The sequence below is a fragment of the Homo sapiens genome, chromosome 9 (genome assembly GCF_000001405.40).
Source record: "Homo sapiens chromosome 9, GRCh38.p14 Primary Assembly".
Lineage (NCBI taxonomy): Eukaryota > Metazoa > Chordata > Mammalia > Primates > Hominidae > Homo > Homo sapiens.
Window position 1 is genome coordinate 86,686,005 of NC_000009.12, and position 22,555 is coordinate 86,708,559.

General features: G+C 38.7%; 1 long non-coding RNA gene across 3 annotated transcripts in view; it reads right to left on the reverse strand.

Moving 5' to 3' along the window:
• The window catches only part of LINC02834 (long intergenic non-protein coding RNA 2834), a 39,034-nt gene extending 16,733 nt beyond the window's left edge, over positions 1-22,301 (reverse strand). The window contains exons 1-3 of one of the 3 annotated variants that reach the window (XR_930071.1): positions 22,211-22,301; positions 19,184-19,454; positions 14,671-15,033 (exon numbers count right to left, since the gene is read on the reverse strand). This is a non-coding gene — a long non-coding RNA (long intergenic non-protein coding RNA 2834). Of the gene's footprint in view, positions 1-14,670; positions 15,234-19,183; positions 19,455-22,210 lie in introns of those variants that run through there. The other 2 variants (XR_930069.1, XR_930070.3) reach the window with 2 other exon arrangements.
• Between the last annotated feature and the right edge of the window lie 254 nt (positions 22,302-22,555).

The window sequence follows — 22,555 nt, forward strand, 5'->3', positions numbered from 1 at the left end:
AGTTTCTTAATATACAAAAGCCAGATAACACTCTTTTAACTCTATTGATGTAAAGATTAAATAAAATAATATATGGAAAGTGGTTTACACCATGCTTGGCACACAGTGAGCGTATAGTGACTGGTAACTATTATTCAATTATTGTTCTCTATGTCAATTTCCATATATAACATTTTTTAAAAAATCAAAAGCTGTGATCTCAGCACCCAGGACCCATAATCTAGAACCCATTTCCTGTTTCTAGGCATAAGACACAGCAGAAATTGCACTTATGGATAAAGGGTTTGATCATGTAAATGGCTCATCACTCTTTAAACAAATGGTTTAAGTCCCTGCCAAGGCCATTTGTATACCAGGTCAGTAGCTGTTTGCTGACTTGTTTATGCGTTAGACTGAAATCTCTCTTAAAACAAGACTGGGGGCTGGGCGCGGTGGCTCATGCCTGAAATCCCAGCACTCTGGGAGGCCGAGGCGGGCGGATCACGAGGTCAGGAGATGGAGACCGTCCTGGCTAACACGGTGAAACCCCGTCTCTACTGAAAATACAGAAAAATTAGCCGGGCGTGGTGGCGGGCTCCTGTAGTCCCAACTACTCAGGAGGCTGAGGCAGGAGAATGGTGTGAACCCGGGAGCCATGCAGTGAGCCGAGATTGAGCTCCTGCACTCCAGCCTGGGAGACAGAGCGAGACTCCATCTCAAAAAAAAGAAAAACAAAAAATGAAAAACAAGACTGGGTCTTTTTTTCATTTTTAAGCTTAATTCAATTAATTTTTAAGTAGACGGAGCATCTACTACAGGCAAAGGTCTGCTGAGGAGGAATGGGGAGGCATACAAAGGGAATTCTTCATTAGTAGAAGCAAAGCCATTGTCCCTTCATTACAAAACAATTCCAATGCAGGAGCCAGGGGTCGAGGTGTTACCCTAAAGGTTCTCGGGATTACCAGGCTACAGAGACTAATTAAAGATCACAGAGATTATAACAATGTTCTGTGGGTCCATCTGAATATGATAGTGTTGAGAAGATGTTATTGTACTATGTCTGCTGCAGTTTAACTGTGTTTTACTAATGTAGCCTGAGTGTATTTACCAGCCAAATTGTGGATGAGAAAAAGGGATATCCAACTAGTTGTCTTTGTTTACATTTTACAGCAGAGTTTTCACGTTTAAGAGTCTTTATCTCAGTCCCATTGTGTGAGTAACTTTATATAATAAGAATTCAGTGGTAAACGTATATGCAGGCAGAAATGCATCTCTAGTCTTCTCCCCATGTTCATTCTCATGAATATTTGCTCTAAAGATCTATGAAATATAAGAACATTTTCGGTTTATCTTTGTACTCTAGAAATCAGTCTTAAATTAGCTGGGCATGGTGGTGCGTGCCTGTAACCCCAGCTACTTGGGAGGCTGAAGCAGGAGAATCCCTTGAACCCAGGAGGTGGAGGTTCCAGTGAGCTGAGAGCGCACCATTGCACTTTAGCCTGGGTGACAGAGCAAGACTTTGTTTCAAAAATAAATAAATAAATAAATAAATATAAATAAAAATCAATCTTGCTCTGCACAAGTCTAGTATCTCTAGTATCTCTCAATAATACTAATTGAATTAGAGTTAGAGCTAGTTTATTCCTTCCCTCATGTTTTTTAATCTTTGGGGAATTACTGAAGACCTTTTGTGACCAGTTAATATATCATTTTAAAAATGATTAAAAATTTGTTTTTACCAAAGAAATTATTACAGCTATTTATTATAGTGTTTTTGTGGGAGTTAAAAATAATAGTAAGAGTAGCATAAGAGTGAGTATAAAATAATAACATCATTTCTCAAGCACCTTATACTAGATGCTTTGGTTATCTATTACTGTGTAACAAATGACACCAAAACTTAGTGGTTTAAAACAGCCATTTTGCTTTGCTCATGATCTTGTGAGTCAGGACTTTGGGAATGGCTTGGCTGGGTGGTTTGTCTCTGCTCCACATGATGTCCGCAGGGGCAACTGGCACCGGAGGCTCCACTCCCTAGGTGGCCTCTGCAATCACAGTATCTGACTCCTCCCTGCTTTTTGGTTTCTCTCCCTTCACATGGCATTTCCTCCTCCAGCCTCCCTCCATGTGGCTTGAGCTTCTCACATCATGGCTGTCTCAGAACAGTTTTACTTCCTTTTGCGGCAGCTAGTTTCTAAGAGGCAGAAGCAAAAACTGCCAGGTCACTTATGGGCTATGCTCAGAAGTGGCACAGCATCACTTCCTCCGTATTTTTCGCTTGTTTGTTTGTTTGTTTGTTTGTTTGTTTCTTTGTTTTCTGAGACAGAGTCTAGCTCTGTTGCCCAGGCTGGAGTGCAGTGGCACCAGTCATGGCTCACTACAGCCACGACTTCCTAGGCTCAAGCAATCCTCCCACTTCGGCCACCCAATTCACTGGGACTACAGGCATGTGCCAACGTGCCTAGCTGATTTTTTTTTTTTTTTTTTTTTTTTTAGAGACAGGGTCTCATTATGTTACCCAGGCTGGTCTTGAATTTCTGGACTCAAGCAATCCTCCTACCTTGGCCTCTCAAAGTGCTGGAATTATAGGCATAGGCCATTGTGCCTGGCCCCTTCCTCCACATTCTTTTGGTCAAAGCAGACCCATGGTATGCGCAGGTTGAAGCGAGTAGAGAAATAGAGTGCACCTCTTGATGGAGGAGTGTCAAAGTCACTTCAAAAAAGAGCACATGCAATGGGGGTCATCTTTGTTACAGGCATCTTTGGAAAATACAGTCTGTCACATTAGAACATGTTTAAGATACTTCTTCAAGAATTCCACTCACTTAAGCCTTTCAATAACTCTCTTAAGTAGTCACTATTATCACTACCATTTTGCAGATGACAAAACTGAGTCCCATGGAACTAAATAACTGGTCCAAGGGTACACAGCTTGTAAAAGATAATTTTACTTAAATAATGAGGAATCTGGTTCTCAGGCCAAAGTTCTTCACCCTGTGTTTTCTTACCTATGGTATTAGACACGTCTATATAAGCTATGTAAGCTGGGCAAGTTGCTTAACTTCTCTGGATATTGGCATCCCTAAAAGCAAGAGGAAAGGTACTCTCCTTCAAGTGTTTTTGTAAGGATTAAAAGAGAACATGTAAGGATGATGCTTAGTACAGCCTGGATAGAAGAGACACATGATAAGTGTGTCTTACTGAAGCATATGAGCTCAGAGGCTGTGAACATGTTGATTTTCTTCTTGTTCACCTAAATAAACCTCATCCTGCCTCTACATTCTGGTGGCAGAGGTGCAGCTTGCCCTGTTATTCTCTTCATTGCAATTTGGCTCTGGGTTCAAACTCTGGCTATCTTCCCCCAGGCCATGTTTTCCCTTTACTTACCCTTAATTTTAGCTTAAATTAAGTAAATTCAGAGGCTTTACATTTTAGAGTGTGCACAGAGAATACTGCAGTAAATATCTTTGTAGGTGTGTCATTGGCTTATTTTGTATATCTATATACAAAAATGACTTGCTAGATGAAAAGGTGCATAGTTGTAAATTTGATAAATTCTACCAAATGTCTGCCCATAGGCTTTTTTCAACTTATAATCCCCCAACAATGTATGTGAGGCCTGTTTTCCATCACTTTGCCAAAAGTGTGATTTGAAGCTTTTTGATCTTTGCCAAATTAGTCAGTGAAATATGGTATCTTGTTGTAATATAATTAGCATTTCTCTTATCAAGGGTGATGTTATTTGTCTTCTCATGTGTACGAGAACCACTTGTGTTTCCTTTTCTGTAAACTGTATCTCCATATTGTTGCCAATAATTTTCTAATAGAATATATAACATGTATATAAGAAATTTGCTTCCAACAGCACTTTTGTATTAAGAACCTTAGCATTTTGCCTGCATATGTGCATCTTTACTGGCTTTTGCATGTGAGCTTGCTGTTTTTTGTTATGCAGAATTTAAAATTTTTTTATATAGCCATGTTTTGTGTTTTTTTCCTTGTTTCCTGCCATACCTAAAAAGATTTTTTTTCCATTCTAAGATTAGGAAAATCATCTTCCATGTTTTATTTCACACTTTTATGAATCATGCAGTTTCTCTTCATTTGATTGAGACAAACTTATAAAATTAGGTTAACTTACATAAAAATCTGGAGGCTTGGTTTGGGAGATCTGCAGCCCTCCCCTATACTTCCACATGGAAACAATTGGCTGGAGGTGAAGGGCAGGCCTGCCCCTTTGGACAGGACCAGTTCTCTCTGCCTTGCCAGGGTCCCTACCTTGCCCTTTGTACTCACTGGCATTCCAAGCAAGTCCTCCTAGTCAATTAAGCTTGCTACTTCTGAATTAGAGCCTTATGTGGGGTTAGGAAGTGGAAGGACTGAGCTGATGAAAGAGAGTTGGGATCTCTTGGCAGAGCAGTCTGTTTTTGTAAGTTTTCACATTTCTCTTCATTTTGAACATTATAATGTGGCTTCCAAAAATCAGGTACACACCTATGTTTTGGAAGTAGACAAAGCCATCAAACAAATGTCGTACATCTTACATAGTTTGACTATGAAATTGGTGTGATGATAGTGGTGTGCAATTTAATTGGTAAATTATTTAAAACGTTGTTAAAAACAAGCATGGATTTAATTTGGAGTATAAATAAATATTTGGATGACTTTTTTTCTAAGATTAAAAAACCGTGGCTATATTCTCTTGCCTCAGGCATGTGGTCATTCAACTCTGATGTCAGGATCACTTGGGTATACGTTTGATACCACTGGATAATGACTTCTACAAGATGCCTAGAGATAAATAAATTTCATTGACAAGTCAAGTCTTGTACTTTATATAATCATCTTATTTCCAATAGCTGATATTGGACTGGTGCCCTGTTAATTTGAGTTTTCAGGTAAAAATTAGGTTACTTGGTTCATGAAACCAGAGGAGTATTTTTAATTAACATAGTGTGTATAAAGACTGTGTGTTAATCAAACGGAAACATTTCTATGTATGAGAAAAGAATTAAAAATGAAAAGCCAAGAGGGAGAACTTATGTTGTTTCTCTGTAAGTCTTTTCAGAATTTTATTCAGATAACAGAGAATAGATTTATTTCAAACAAGAAACATTTATTAACTCTTTAATGTGTGCAAGGAATTACTAGTGTAGCAGAATAGAGCAGTTTGAGTACTTACAATCTGGTTGGGAAAGAAGGATAACTCCATAAATAAATAAATAGTGTTAGCCAAAAAGCACTCTAGACTCTATGCATGTGTCCCTCCAGGTGCATAACACTTAAAATGATGAATGAAATGTATTTTAAAATAAAACATTTAAAAAGCATAGCTGAGCTGACAGCAAAGAAAATACCGAAGCTAAGAAATGATGAGAGAACACCTATTTTTTTTTTGGCTTGGGTACATCTGTCAGTGTATGGTGTTCTACAGACTTGGTTTTAATGGACTGTAGTATGGAAGTCACAGGCCAAACCTAGAATCGAGACAGGTGAGAAATCTGATTGGGGAACCCTGAAGAAAAATGACACCCTAAAGGTTAATGCTCACAAAGGGCAAACTAGAAAGCCCAACCCCACAAAGGGGACTTGACTGCCTTAGACTTTGCCCTGAATTCTGTAAAAGATGACAAGGAAAAATAAAAGCCTCATATGAGAATTCCTAATCATAAGCCAGAATGGGCTTGTATTTGGAGGCCATAATTCACACTGTATGAGTAGTCTTAACAAAATTTCAGGATGGAAATTTAGTAAAGAGTGGTCCTACGTTGATAAGTACCTGCAGGCAACTGATGGAAGCAAACAGATCCTTTTTTGAGGATGCATGTTAAACACAGGTTTCAGAGAATTCTGAAAGAAACATGAGCTCACAATTTAAAAAAAAATTTTAAAAATCATTAAACATACAAGAAAATTGGACACTATGAGAGAGAGACAACAGAAAGCCAGCAAATGGCAGAATCAGGTTTGTAAAAACTGCAGGCTCAACAGACACAGACTATAAAACAAATATATTTCACACATTTAAATAAACCAGTGAAGATACTGAAATCATGGTAAAAGAACAAGAAACTATGAATATTGATGAGGCAGATTTTTTTTTTCTGAGACAGGATCTCACTCTGTTGCCCAGGCTGTGTGCGATGGCATGATCATAGCTCACTGCAGCCTCGAACTCATAGGCTCAAGCTATCCTCCTGCTTCAGCCTCCTAAGTAGCTAGGATTACAGGCACACACCACAAAACCTGGCTAATTTTTGTATCTTTTGTAGAGATGGGGTTTCATCATATTGCCCAGTCTGGTCTGAAACTCCTGGGCTCAAGTGATTCACCCACCTTGGCCTCCCGAAGTGCTGGGATTACAGGTGTGAGCCACTGTGCCTGGCCAAGGCAGATTTTTATAATAAAACCAAATAAAACTTCTATAAATAAAAATACGTAGTATTACATTTTAAAACAGTCAGGTAAACAGCAAATTAAAAACAGCCAACAAGAAAATTAGTGAAATAGAAGATAGATCTGAAGACATTACTCGGGAAATAGCACAAAAATAAAAAGATAAAACGTACAAAAGAGAAGTTTAGACATAGAGGATATAGTATGAAGGTCTAATAAGTGTTTAAGTGAAAACCCAGAAAGATAAAATAGAGAAAACTGGAGAGAGATAATATTCAAAGAGATAGTAGCTGAGAAGTTTCCTTAATTGATGAATAGCTACAATCCTTATGTTTATGTAGCTCAAGGAACTTTAAGCTGGATTAAAATGAAATTTCATCTGAAAACATCCTAGTGAAACTGAAAATAACCAAAGACAAAGAGCTGATCTTGAAAGCAATCAGAAAAAGAAAAAGCAGCCCGAGAGGAAAGAAAGGTTATCTGTAGAGGTGTGTTCACTTATATAACTTCTCAATAGCAACAGTGGAAGCCAGAAGAAAAAGTAATAATATTCCTCAATATACTGAAGAAAAAATAATTGACAACAAACAATTAAATATAGAATTAAATATCTATTACAAGTACCTGTTGAGAATGAAGCCAAAATAAAGATATTTTTAGAAAAAACAAACAAGGCGGGACACGGTGGCTCACGCCTGTAATCCCAGCCCTTTGGGAGGCCAAGGTGGGTGGATCACGAGGTCAGGAGTTTGAGACCAGCCTGGCCAACATGATGAAACCCTGTCTCTACTAAAAATACAAAAATTTGCTGGGCTTGGTGGCGCATGCCTGTAATCTCAGGTACTCGGGAGGGTGAGGCAGGAGAATCACTTGAACCTGGGAGGCGGAAGTTGCAGTGAGCCAAGATTGTGTCATTGCACTCCAGCCTGGGCAACAAGAACGAAACTCTATCCCAAAAAAGAAAAAAAAAAAGAAAGAAAGAAAAGAAAAAACAAGCAACAGAACTGGCAAAAACCTGAGAGGGTTTACTGTGAGTAGCTCCCCATTAATGCCTAAGGACTATATTTCAGGAAGGAAAAAATGAGCCGAGAAGGAGTACCCAAGATACAAAAAGGAACAATGAATAAATAATACAGTGTACTTTTGGGTAAATATAGATAAACACAGACTACATAAACAAATTAAAAATCTATCCTATGGGTATATAAGATCGATACAGCAATAAAATCCTCAAATACATAGCATATAAATCAGAAGGCATGTGACCAATGTTTAAATGCTCTAAGTTTCATTTATTTTCAAAGGAAGGTAAAACTATTGATTAGCCTCTACTTTTTAAAGTTAATAAGTATGCATGTTGATCATTTCTAATATACTGCTAACAGAATTAACATATAAAGTATGATTTTCAAGTGAGAAGAGGAAAAAAGTGAAATGAGGAGGGGAAAAGCAACACTATCAAGTCAAAAGGAGGCAGAACAAGCGGGAAAAGTTAAAAAGTTAAAGAAAATACAAAACTAAGTGGTAAAAATTAATCCAAATGCAATATTAAGAAAATGAATATTAGTTGAGTAAAATTTATAGTTAAAAGTCAAAAAGTGTCAGACTGGTTTGAAAACATCAACAAATAAACATCAGTGCTACAAATTCAGATATGGATTTGTGGAGTTATAAGTTCAAATAAAAGGTTATAGAAGGTTGAAAGTAAATGGATGGAAAAAATTATACCAGACGATACAAACTCAAGAAAACTGTTATAGCCAGATTAATACTAGACAAAAATCTATTTTAAGGCAAAAGACATTCTGGAGATCATTACAAGATGTCTAATTTAAAAACTTCAACATTTGACTAAATTGCAGAAATGGACAAATCATCCATCATAGTGGGAGATTTTCAGACTATTTCCTTAGCCATTTATAGACAAGGCAGACAAAGAATCAGTAAATGTATAGATTAAGCAGCTCTAATGGACATATATGGAATACTTCCCACAACCAGTGGAGTACATTCAGAGGGTTTATGAAAACTGACCTGGGTGTGAGGCATAAGGTAATTCCCAATAAAAATTATGAATGAGTGTCATATGGACCACATTATAGAAACAGAATGGAGTTAAGCTAAAAATCTATAATAAAAAGTAACTTTAGGACACACTGTGGGCCTAGATATTTAAAAATACACCTCAAACTTCCCTGAATCAAAGAAGAAAGCAATACAAGAATTAGAAAATTGTGTAAAACTAACATTTAATAAAACTGCTGTTTATGGAAATCTGTGGACAGTTGCTGTTCAATTCTAGCTGGTGATGTGGGGGCTAAAAAATGTCAGAACTTCTGTTTTTTTTTCCCAAAGAAATTCAGGAATCTGAGATTTTTATTGAAAAAATTTCTGGTGTTTATGACATTGTGTGTGTCTCCTCACCTCCCCCCAAAATATTGGCGTGCCTGTATCCATTTGGTTTGACATTTCTAATGTGAGAAATAGGAAATCATTGAAGTTTTAATGAACTGAAGAATGACATGATCAAATTAGTTTGATTGGAAATACTCAGGTGCTAGTAATATTGTATATATTGTTATTATTTCATATCTTATATATCTTCGTTATATAAGATATACAAAATACTATACATATATATATTTTTTTTATTTTTGAGGCAGAGTCTCGCTCTCTTGCCCAGGTTGGAGTGCAGTGGCATGATCTCAGCTCAATGCAACCTCCACCTCTTAGGTTCAAGTGGTTCTCGTGCCTCAGCCACCTGAGTAGCTGGGACTACAGGCACATGTCACCATGACTGTCCTATACATATATTTTTAAATAGAAATAAATCTGGCTCAGTCTTTCACTGCCAAAGTATATACAGCATTTATCAGTTGATTTTGAAGTTTCCCAACATTAATCACCTTCTTTTAGGTTGCACACAATCCCTGCAGTCTTTATAAGCCCAGGAAAATGTAAAAGGTCCCCAGTCCTAAGCCTGGTGACAGCTGCGGCCATTGCTTCTTTGCATTGATCTGTGTGGCACAGTGTAAGCACCTAATAAATATTAGTTGTTGTTATTCTTGTGCCCAAGAAGTAAAATAGATTTAATAATACCAGCATCATAGTGCTGTTCTGAGGATCATCCAATACTTCGGGCAGAGACAGTGAACAGAGGCTACCACCCTTTTTCAGTCTGTTGAATAAATGAAACTAGAAGTCAAGGGAATGGCCTGCTTAGTGGAAGGCCTGGCCTTGGAAGGCTGTTGCAGTATAAGTATCCCAGATCTACGGTAGAGGAAAGGGAGACGGAAAGGAGCTGAGTAAAGGAAGAGAGATAGGGTAAGCTTCTTGATCCTTCCTGTCACTGAAGTTTTAGGTTATAATGTCACTTCAGAGAGGACGTCCCTGATCACCCAGTTTCTTCCATGGCATGGCCTTTTCTAATGATGTGGAAAGGAAGTGTTACAACCTGACATCTTCTTGTTTATTTGTTTGCTATTGTTCACTCTGCTAGAATAAAAGATAAATTTCTGTCTTGTTCACTACGGAGTCTCTAGAACCTAGAGCACACACTACACACAGTAGGCAGTCCATAAATATTAGTTGGCTGAGCAAGTATATACTTTATAAATTTGCCTGACTTTACTTTTATTTTTGAACATTAGGAAGAGCCTACTGAGGTCTGGATTCTGGCAAGATAGGAATTATTAGTAAAGATGACTCAGCGATTGCATTTACATCCTCTGTCTTTTCTCCAAATTCATTCAGGCCTTCAGGACCTGGACTTCCTTTGGAAAGTCCAAACTTCCTTTGGAAAAAAGACTAAGAGGAATTCTTCCTGAAGTTCCTTGTCTGACTGTGGCCACTGTCTCCCTGGAGAACTGCACTTATTTCAGAAAGAAGAGAGACTTCTAGATAAAGCGAGGTGATGCTGGCTTCAAACCAAATTAAAAAAAAAAGCTGGAGATATGCAAGTTGCTAAACCAGCCCTTCCCTCAGGCTCAAATCAGAGGACAATTGGTAACAACCACCTTTCTCTCATTTGGTTTTGCAGCTCAAACAAAACTGTCACCCTCGCCAAAACCCCTGAAATACAGAAATGTGGTATTAAAACAGTTATGACTGGAAAAGAGGTTCAATGGCCTCATTTCATGATGAAATTACCTATTGCTCTTATTATGAATAGTGAATTCTACTGTTTATATAAGTTTTGATTTAATGTACACCTGACATTTCAAAGTGCTCTTTCCTTTACATTTCACTTTATACTTGTGACATTCTTAGATATGTTATATCCCATTTTAGAGGGTATAAAAACTGTGACTCAAAATGATTACAAGCTTTTCCCAGGATCACTTAATTACTTATCAGAAGACCAGGATTCTAGTCTTGGCTTTGCTGCTGTGTAATGTCCTGTGCTTCTGTCTGTCTGTGCTACCCGTCTCAAAGCTAACTCTTTCTTAAGAAACTGAAAACGTCTTTAAATTATATCAAATAAGATACAGATTTAGAAAATGAGAGGAAATACTCTAGGATTCCTTGTTGAAGAAAGTCTACATGTTATGATTATCCAGGTTTGTGCTGATTATTTTTGACAACATTACATGCAGTAATTTAAAAATTATATTTTATACAAGACATAGATAATAGTTTTAAGGAGATAATGATGATACTCTGTAATTACACTGTGCTTTTTTATCTTTCCAAAGAACATTAAAATCTATTATTTCATTTTATCCTTACAAATGATACCTTAAATTATCATAATATTGTATTTTTTTAGCAGGTTATAGAATCAGGTATCTCTAAATAATGTTTGCAAACTATAACAGAAGGCCCATGCAATTGCTTAGGGTGAAAAGGAAGTTGAGTTGCCTTTAAAAATACCTGGCAGTAAATTAAAAGTGGAGAAAGAAAAATCCTCCCCATTTAAAAACTTATCTATCTAATTCCCTTGGGATTTCAGGCTCTGTTCACGATAGTGACTGTTTTGGCATCAACTAAAACTGCAAGTTGTATTCATTATAGTCAAGAGTGAAATGGCAGTGAGCTTTGGCTTTCACTGGTTGCTGGGATTAAGAACATGCTAGTAATTAGCTATAACTCATTTGCCTCAGCAATTATCCACAATTACTCATAATCTCATGGGTAATGGAACACACAATGCAGTTGGCTCATGCTGCCTTTTGGGTACTGACCTCTTGGGTGAGAGGTCATCCCAGGCATGAGAAGGGGTGGGCTTTCAGCAGAGTCAGTGGGTCTGCAGACAATAATTTACTAGAGACACCACAGAAACATTGTGTACACAGGGAAATATTGTCAATTTTTTTTAGAAGTGGAAGAACAGAAATAATTTTTGACTTGTTTTTTGTTTGAAAAGAATGCCCTGGAAAACAATATGGTGGACTGTCCTTGGAGTGTGCAACACAACTAGGTCTTGTGTAGAAACCATGTATCTCTTCTAGGTAGAAAACTATACGGGAGAAGGGAGTGGATTGTGGAGCACAATACCTGGGCCAAGCAATCCTTGGGATGGAAGCTTGTAGAGCCTTAGCCCACAGCCCTTTCAGGAGCAAACATACATGTAAGCATCATGTTACTTTATTCTTTGCAGAACCCCAAAGGGAGCTTACAAAGGAAACTCTCGTTCCTTCTATATTCATTAACTGGGATTCTTCTGTAAGCAAGAGCTGTCCCTTCCTCCCCCATTTATTTGTTGATTCAATTATTCGTTAATATCAATATACAATCCTAGACAATTATTTTATTCTATGGGCTATGATCCAGTACTACAATTAATACTTTCTTTGCTCCAGTTATGGCAGCTTGCCCGTGGGGATCTCCTCCAAGTTGTGTCTTTGTCTTTTGGCATGTCCCATCCTTTCTTGAACATTTTCTTATTTCCTGGCAGCACAAGATCTTTCAAGCTCATCTTTTAATTTTCCTGTCCCAGCCTTGGAATCAACCTCTTTTCCAAGGAACCTTGTTTCTTTCGTTGGAAAATGGTATATAGGAACCAAGATCCAGACACTAGGGCTGCTCAAATTGCTATGGGATTGTCATTGCTCCGAGGCTGTCTCACAGCTAGGAAACATGTACACACAAATACACTTATATTTCTATATCTACCTATCTGCATATATATGAATTCATATTGAGTGCAGGAGTTCATACTGATACCTCCCAATTCAGCATGCATGTTCATTCTAGCCTGTCCTTTTGTTTATCTGTAACTTCTTTCTCCAATGATGAGAAGTCTGGCTCTTGTTATCTACAATATATTTACTTACCAAAGAATGAAATAAATTGTTGTAGGTTTATGCTATATATATAACACGCAGGAAACCTTTGTAACAAAAACTATACTACTACTATACTCTCTATATTCACACTACTCTCTATATTGCAATATATATATTCACACTACTCTCTATATTGCAAGATTTCTCAGCTCTGTTTTCTACATATATTTCACATACAACCAGCCTACAATTTTTCATCTTTCCCACTGATTCTCCCACTTGGCAGCCTCATGCCTTTCTGCACATTGAAGGCTGTGGTATAGTCTGTGGTACTGGCCATGACACAACTGTCTGGTATACCAAGTTGCTAGTAGGGGTGTTACTAACTGAAGACTGGAAGAAGCAACATCCCTTGCTACAGTTTTATCAGTGAATGCCCTACATGCTGCCCTGAACAAGGAAATACTAGTCACCTTGTGTCTGAAAAGGGTCAGGTATGGCGGGGGGAGGCTATCATATGGTCATCTCTCAGATTTAACCACATGTTTATGGGAGAACTCTGTTTTCCTTCCATGAGTTTCCTAAGGTACCAGACAAACCCACAGCATAACCTGGAAGTCTAGAGTGGAAGTCTACCAGACCTCTCTTGGTGAATTACCACAAATGTTGGCTAAATGTACTTCTTTAAAAACATCGCAGACAGCAGGCATGTTTGGGTGCTCCCAAGGTAAGCCAGTCTGGTGAACTAGCTATAAGATGACTTACTCTCTATGTAAAAGGTCTATGATACCTTTTTCTCCAAATCCTCATCTCATTTGAAACACGGAGAAGCCAGAGTCAGCAGAGGGAGGGAAGGAGGAGAAGAGAAAGAGCCAGATTAAAAAAAAAAAATCACAGAGAGGCTCATCACACCCCATCCACTCCTGCAGGTTTCCAAGCTGGTTCTTGCCCAAGCAAGGCCAGGTGAGAAATTTTAAATTAGATAACAGCTTGGCACTTTACTATGGAATCTTCCCGGTATTTCATCTAGGGCAGAGAAGAATGATTTGGCAAAATTTGGTTGAAAGTGTTTTGCAAATGAGAATGAGTTATATGTAGGAGGACATTTCTCCACCGTGTGTGTGTGTGTGTGTGTGTGTGTGTGTATTTTCTTCTGAAATTGGGATGCATCTTAACACCAGTGAGTACGTTTATGGAGGTAATTTTCTTCCTTTCCCTCCCTCCTTCCATTTTTCTTTTTTTCTTCTTATTTTTTCTGAATAGTTGTTATTGAAACCATATTGTATCTTACAATCAGAGCTGAGGAATTACTGCAAGTTCTATTTTTTAAAAATTTGTATACGTTTATGGGGTACAAAGCACAGTTTTGTAACAGCATAGTGGCCAAGTCAGGGCTTTTAGGGTATCCATCACCTGAATGATGTACATTATACCTGCTTAGTAATTTCTCATTATCTATCCTGCTCCCACCCTTCACCCTACCTGTCCTATCATTCCACTCTCTGTGTCCATGTCCACCCATTTTTATCACCCACTTATGAGTAAGTTCTATTGTTACTACACTTGTTCTTAGCCAAAAGGCCAAGAAACGATAAAAGTTCTATTGTTTAATGCAATATTGCTAGTGTGAGTTTTTCAGTGGAAGAATGCTTCTTAAGCATAAAACTGTTCCTTAATTTGTATTATGTTATCAAGCTCACAATCTCACAACAAGAAATGGACAGCTAACTTTCCCCACCGTTAGCTATCTTTGGACTTACTTCAAGACAGATTTAATCTTTTAGGCAGAACACTTCGTCTGTAGTGAGTATATTTTCCTTTCTCAGGATGGTTTCAGAAAGGGAAAAGAAAAAGAAGTTTATTTCTGTAGGAAAAATTGGAACCAAACTGACAATCTGTCTATTAACTTTGGCTATTTTGGTTTTTCTTTTTAATTGTACAGTAAAAGGCAGAACCAGATTTAAGTTTCTCAGAATCTAACAACAACAACAACAACAAGAACAACAATAACCACAACACAACAAAATGTCCTCATTTTTGACGAGCTATGTAGAAGTTTCTACTTTATGTGATTTAAAAGGGGAGAGCTGGAGAATCCTGAAAAGATGGAGCTTCTAATGGAAAGGCTGACAGACCCTTAACGACGAGCCTGTTGCCAGGCGCCACCGTAATAAATGGTGGCCAGCTTCCAGGAGGGCTCACAGCTGCATGTCTGAACTTTATCCAGCTAGAGTTTGCAGGCTCTGGCCAGCTTGTAATTCATTCTTGGCTGACACATTCCAGTTCATAATTAGTGTAGTGCTAATATGATCCTCATTTTTTAATTCTTTCCTGTAAAACTGGACTGTTTCAAAAGACAAAGATGTACTTCACTTGGCCATCAGGAAATCCACACGGTTGGATTCTCCAGGCGCTCACGTGTGGCTGGAATCTATAGAAAAGGGAAGTAGGTTCAGCTTTCTTCTGTTTCCCTGTGAAGCAGCCTATAGATCCCCAGATTTTATTTCAGCATATGTTGTCAGTCTCTCCCCTCATAAAATCTTGTTTTCTTTTGGCCTCCTAATGCATAGAAAATGGATCACCACTCTCCCTTGATCTCACTCCTCATGGACAAGTGTATATAGATGCAGCCTGTCAAATGGAATGAACAGTATGTGCACAGATCATACATTTCCATAATGGATCTGCAACTTGCATGTTTCACATTTGTTATAATTTCCTGAAGTTGCTCTGATGGATTTGTAGTGTGGGCACTTGGCCGAGGTGAAACTACATTTCCCAGAATTCTCTACCTGCATGGTTCCAGGTTGGCTTGCACCACAAGAAGTGAGAGGTAGAAGTGACATTCGGGGGTGCAGAAGCACCTTGTTGGTAGCTTCTCCAATTCCTGGGCCAAGTGTAGATTTTGTTCTGTGATGAGAAAGGTGCCAGAATCACATCCTTTAATGGGATGTTTGGAGAAACCAATATGGATTTCAGTCCATCCTCATGGGTTCAAGCTCATTGCCATGGGATCCACTTTTGTCCCACTCTCCCCCACTTCAATTCCGTCTTTCTTTCCCAGGTGCCTGCCCTGCTGACTTTAGAGCCAACACAGACACAACAGCCTTACAGCCTTACACAGACTGTTTAATCATCACCTATCATTGTGTAAGGTCAAATTCTCATAACAAATCCCTTATTTTATATCACTGTAGTGATTCTTCTCCTCTAATCTCACTCTGCCTGATACAGTTACATAACCCTTCACAATCTTGCCCTAGAACAGTGCCCAGGAAGTACGCAATCAATTTTTGTTACTGAGGCAGAACGGGTATCTTTATTGTCCTTTTATAGCTGAGAAAACTGTGGACAAAGGGATTCAGTGACTTAACCCAGCCAGTAAATACCAGAGATAGGATTTGAATCAGACCTTCTGAGACCATACCCAGTATACCTGAGTGGGTACCATATGTAAACTGAAATCAAAAGAAGTAACATGTGAAGAGGTACTCAACATTCCCAGTAATCAGGATCACACAAATATGAGATGCCATTTTTTTTTACCCATCTGGCTGCAAAAGTTTGTAATGGTAGATATGAGAAAGAATCTTCTCATGAGAAGAGGAAATACTTATGAACTGCTGGCATTAACTGGGGTAGTCACTTGCGACAATTTGGTATTTGCTAAAATTTAAAGAATTCATATCCATGACCCAGCAAGTTCATTATGCATGATTTACTTCAGCATACACTTCCATGTGTGCGCAAGGAGGCATTTTTAAAGATGCTCAGTAGAATAAAATGATGCACATTAGCCTGATGAAAAGGTGATGATGCATTCATACTCCAGAACAAGGTAGTCCTGTCTACACTCAGGTGGAAACCACTTCATGAGTATTGTAACATAAACAAGAAGCAAATTACAGAATTATATGTTTAAGGAGTACAATTCGTGTAAAAACACACAAATTAAACGGGGCTTTATGTTTTCCGTGACCAAATATATGTAAGTAAAAGTATTTTTTAAAAAGTTGGCAAGCTAATGATGATTAGAAGAGAGAGGGAGGAAGCTGTGATAGGGAGTGATAAAGCTGGATTTAATTTATTATGTTTTTTTCTTTTATAAAGAAAATGCATTTATTACCTATGTAATTAATTTTTTGGCTCCAAAAATAAAGGTAACATGTATGAAAGATGAGTTATAGGCCTCACTGAGTACTAAAAGAGGAATGGTATGTTTGAATTAATTTCATTAACACTTTCATTTTATAGAGAAGGAAATTGGTACCCAGAGGCAGGAAATGATTGGCTGAAGGCAGAATCCAGTAAAAATTTGAAATCAGGAGTGTCTCAGAAAAGTTGTTGACAGAGTTTCTGAAATAATCTCTGAAAATACTTTGATGAAATCAGAGTGTATTTCAGAGCACCATTGTGGGGACCCCCTGAATAAACATGATCCAGTTTCAGGGGCTGTGATTTAGCCAGTTGGCAATGTTGCCCAGGGACCCTGTTAAGATCACACAACACCTTACTATCATCTTTGATTCTTATAGTCTATTGCTAATTCTATATGTTTTTCTAACATCTTCAACCTTTGTTGCCTCAGTAAATTCATTTTCTCTGTAGCAAGTTCAAAAACACTTTGACCTTTGTCCTTCCTCAAGGTGGGCCATTTTTGCAATATTTACCTAAAGGACAGAAAACTCAGAGGCAGTTCCCTACAAAGCCGTTCTTTAAACCAACAGAAATATGTTGGTGGTAAATTTTTGGTGGTAAATTCTGAGTTTATTTTTCTGATGACCCAGGATAGAGGGAACTGGGTTCTGCTTCTACGAATATACAGTACAATCGTGCTGCATAACAACGTTTTGGTTGATGACAAACCACATATACCATAGTGGTCCCATAAGATAAAGGAGCTGAAAAATTCATCTTGCCTAGTGACGTCGTAGCTGTCAAAACGTAGACAATGCATGACTCATATGTTTGTAGTTATGCTGGTATAAAGAAACCTACTGCACTGCCAGTCATATAAAAGTATAGCATATACAATTATGAATAGTGTATAATATTTAATAATGACAATAAGTAACTCTGTTACTGTTTTTTTACTATACTTTTTAGCATTTTAGAGTGTACCCCTTCTACTTAGACACACACACACACAAGTACACACACATATGTATATGTATGTAAAGTTAACTGTAAAACAGTCTTAGGCTGATTCTTCAGAAGGTATCCAGAAGAAGGCATGGCTACCATGGGAGATGATGGCTCCTTGAAAATCTTTCGAAGGACAAGATGAGGAAGTGAAAGAGAGTGATATTGATGATCCTGATGCTGTGTAGCCTTGGCTATTGTGTGTGCATATGTCTTAGTTTGTAACAAAAAATTTAATAAGAAAAAACATTTTTAAATAGAAAAACACATAGAATAAGGACATAAGGAGAGAAAATATTTCTGTGTAGCTATACAATGTGTAAGAATTTTAAGCTAAGTTGTTACTATAAGAGTCAAAAAGTTAAAAAAATTAAAAAGTTTATAAAGTAAAAACGCTATAGTAAGCTAAGGTTAATTTATTATTGAATAAAGAAAAATATATATATTTTTATAAATCTAGTGTCACTTAAGTGTCCAGTGTTGATAAAGCCTACAGTAGTGTACAGTCATGCCCTAGGACTTCACATTCACTCACCACTCACTCACCGACTCACCCAGAGCAACTTCCAGTCCTGCAAGCTCCATGTATAGTAAGTGCCCCATACAGGTGTACCATGTTTTATCTTTTATATCATATTTTAATTGTACCTTCTCTATGTTTAGATTTGTTTAGAGACACAAATATGATGTGTTACAATTGCATATGGTATTCAGTATGGTAACAGGCTGTTCCGACTTACAGCCTAGGTGCAATAGACTACACCATACAGCCTGGGTGTGTAGTAGGCAATACAATTTAGGTTTGTATAAGTATACTCTAAGATGTTTGCACAACAACAAAAATGCCTAATGCATCTCTCAGAAAGTACTCCTATTGCTTAGCGAGACATAACTGTAGCTGCACTTGACCTTCTCAAGGTTGGGAAAAAACCAACCATAAAGCAGCCTGACAGATAGAAGTCTCTTTGGCGGATAGCCTAACTGCAGTCTGTTTGTAGAGTTCTGCTTGATGAATAGAATTGACGAGTGCCCTGACTTGTACCCATCATTGAAGTCCTATATGTGTCATCCCCAGCTCTAAAGATCTTCTCTGAATCGCTGACCCTCACTCTCTACCTTAGGTGCTCTCCCTTCAGATCACCTGGGCTCACCCAATTTGTGTTGGAAGAATCTACTCTGTGTTTTTCTCTTTCACAGTATTGTGAGCAGAGGGAGAGCTGCTGGGTGCTTGTGGGGATGAAGCTCAGAGGCAGGGGACCTCCCTGTGACTTCCTTCCCTCTGGGCCTCAGGCTCTATCATTGCCTTTACCAGAACATCTTTTTCATCATAGTTACAGCAACCACCACACAGTATGGTACCTGAACAAAATTGCTGAAAAGATGCAACTTATGGAGATGTTACTCAGCCAGAACAATGTCTTTCCTTGTTGCCGCCTTACCTTTCTTAGCTCTGTGTCCGCCAGCCTCCTTTGCCTCTCAGACAGCAAGCTCTTTCCAGGGCCACCGTTTCCTCCTCTGCTATTCTTTTCTCACGGAGAGTGGAAGCTCTCATGGTGCTTCCAGAAGCAATTCTGTTCCTCTCCTTTGGGGCTGAGCTCTTCTCTTCAATCCTGGTTCCATGATGCAGAAGAGGCACTCGAGCAATCACAACTGCCTACAGCTCTCACAAAATGTTTTATTCCATTAAATGTGTTCACAAGGTTCACCTTTCTACAAGCAAAAAAGAAACACTTTTTTTTCTGTACTCTGATACCTGGAGGTGTAGTATTATATTACATCCCCTTTTCATCCTCTGCAATGTAAAGGGTGGGGGAGATCGTGGCCTCATCTCTATGCTGAGTCTCAAATGAATCAGAATCCAAGGCTGTCCAGCATCCAGTCTCCTCCAAGGCTTACTCTCTTTAGGTTAACATTTCTGAGCTCTGGATCAACAAGTATCAACACACGCCACATATGTTACTCATATTCTTCAACGTACTGAAAAGAAAAATACCCAAGCCTACTGTGTTACCGGAACTGAAGTAAACATTGGCAACAAATATGGAAAGGCTGACCTGCTGGTTTAATATTTTCCCATTTCAACCTCTTAAGTGCATCGTGTGAATCACCTAACACCAAAATATTGTGCTACCCAAGCTCTATAAGGTCTTTTTTGTTACTTATACAGTGAATTTTGCCTTCAGTTTTATGTTTTGTGTGATCACGTGTTTGTGTGATGTTTTTGAAATGTTAAGGGTTCTGTTGCTTAATTCTTGGACCGATTTATTGGAAAAGGGAACTCCTCTCCTCTTATCTATCCACCTTAGTCTTCCAAGATTTTATTTCTAATGTTTACAAAAAAGAAAAGTTCCTCTGATGATGTGAATTGGTATGATCTTTTGTAGGGAGATGATAAAGAAACAGTAATTAGTTGATGTTTTATCAAAAGTAGCTTATTCTACTACTAATAAAATCAATGAAAAATGTACTGTGAGCTAGGTATTTTGAAAGTAAAAACCATGAATAAAAGGTGGTTCTATTCCCAAAGAGGGGACACTTACATGTATTTGATGAAAATTAATAATCACCAAATTCTCTGGCCATGCCATTGGGTTCTGTACTGCTGGTGGCATTAGGGGGGTCTGCTGGTATACCCTCTCGTCCTCTACAGAGTCTACCCGCTGAGGCAATGCCTCTCACAAACCCCAGCCCAAACCTCCCTGGAAGAGCAGGCAGGACAAACCAACTCTGGGCTGTACTAGTTCATGCCAGGACTCAAGATTCCCCCCTCCACTCTTAAGATGATTGTATGAGACTCACCAATCCAGCTAAACCCACAGTTCCTTGTCTTTTAATCAGTGGTTAACAGAGTGTGGTCTCCAGACCAGCATCATCAACATTGCATGGGAACTTACTAAAGAGTAAATTCTCAGGTCTGACCTCAGACTTCCTGAATTGGAAATCCTGGAGTGGGGGAGGGGGCTCAGTGATCTCTGTTTTAATAAGCCTTCCAGGTGATCCTGATGTCCTCTCAAGTTTGAGAACTACTGTCTTCAGCCCTTTCCTGGGTAGAAGCCCTCCTGCTTCGAGTTCATTAAACACGGGGCTCCCCCCTCAGCCCCATCACCTTGCCTGGGAGGGGAACCATCTCTGGAAGTACATTTGCATTTCACCTCTAGGCATGGGCTGAAGACCTACTAGCTCTTCCCCCCAACCCCCAAGCCCTCGTCCTATATTAGTTTAGAGCTTTGATTGTACCTTTATTGTCAGCTCTATTTATTTACTTTTCTTTTTTGGTGGCCATTGATCCTTCAGTGGGCTAACTCACCCAGGCTGGAAGCAAACTTAATTTGGGAGAGTCCAATTTTATCAAATGTATCACAGAATCTGTTTTTGAGCTAAAATGAAACTACGGCTATAATTCACCAAAAGTTAGTTAGCGTTCTGTCCTGCAGTTATTGCAAACCAAGTTGCCTGCCAGATTTCTTCAATACTCTGGGGTTGTTGGAAATAGAATTTCATGCGTTCCCACCTTAGGAGTTGGTGGAAGCCAGGTAGGGGCCTCAGATTAATGTCAGAATGTCCACTTTCATCTATGATTATGACAGTGTTGTTGCTGCCCTTGCTGGAAAAATCTCGTTGTTAGCTACATCTCTCCAGAGCCAGATGGAAGACTGCTTTGGTATGTGAGAAAGTTCTCAAAGGAGAAGGCAGAGACCCTTCTGACAACTTGAATGAGCTCTGCTGTTTTCCCTATCACTTCCTATCCCTTTCCTTTCAGTTCTAAATCTGTTGTCCCTTTTCCTCTTTTGCTGGCTGATCCCTTTTGGCTCACCCTTTAGAGATGGGCTTCGGAGTTCCTCACTTCTGTCCTGTCTTCATTCTCCACTCTGGGAATGTACTTTCGTTCCCACATCTATACCTCTGAACCTGAAGGTTCCACTCCCTGCTGGGCTATTACCACTGGGCCATCTCATCAGAGAAGAGATGAGGGCTTCCACCAGCCCCTAAGGTGAGAATGCATGAAATTCTATTTCCAACAACCCAAGATTTTTGAAGAAATCTGGCAAGTGACTTGGTTTGCAATAATCTCAGGACAGAACACTAACTTTGGGGAATTATAGCCATGGTTTACATTTTAGCTCAAAAACAGATTCTGTGATACATTTGATAAAATTGGACACTCCCAAATTATGTTTGCTTCCTTAACTTCACTAAGTGGAGCCTTTGTTTTCAAGTCCCAGCTCTTCCTCTTCTCATTGTCCATTTTATACACATTGGCATGACTTCAACTACTCTTCCCCTCTTGCTGTGTGTCTGCCAGTCAGTCAGTTATACATAGTTTATCCCCATTGCACATCATATCTCTGCCCTCTTGCCACTGCTTGGCCTCAAGCTGTGGGCAATTCTTGTTTATGTTATCACAATAACCTTTCAGCTGTTCTCTGTCTCTCTAATCTCTTACTAAATTAGCGTGCTCTACATACCACCACAAATGATCATCTTTCTAAAACGCAGATTAGATATTTCTTTCTCCTTGTTGAAACATGCCATGGCTTCCTATGGCCCTATAAGGGAATAAAGTCCCAGATCCTTAGTAGGTGCTCAAAGTTGACACGATGAGGCTGCTCAACCTACCTTCATGCCATTGTGACACGTAACCTCCATGAAGTAGCCTGTTTCCTGAGCTGTTGCACATTTGTATCTGCCTATTTCTTTTCTTATGTTATTCCCTGCACATTACCCCAGGCCACTCTTCTGCTTGTCAAAACTCTGCTCATTAATTAAAGTTTACCTTAAAATATTACTCACAATATTTTATTCACAAGGAC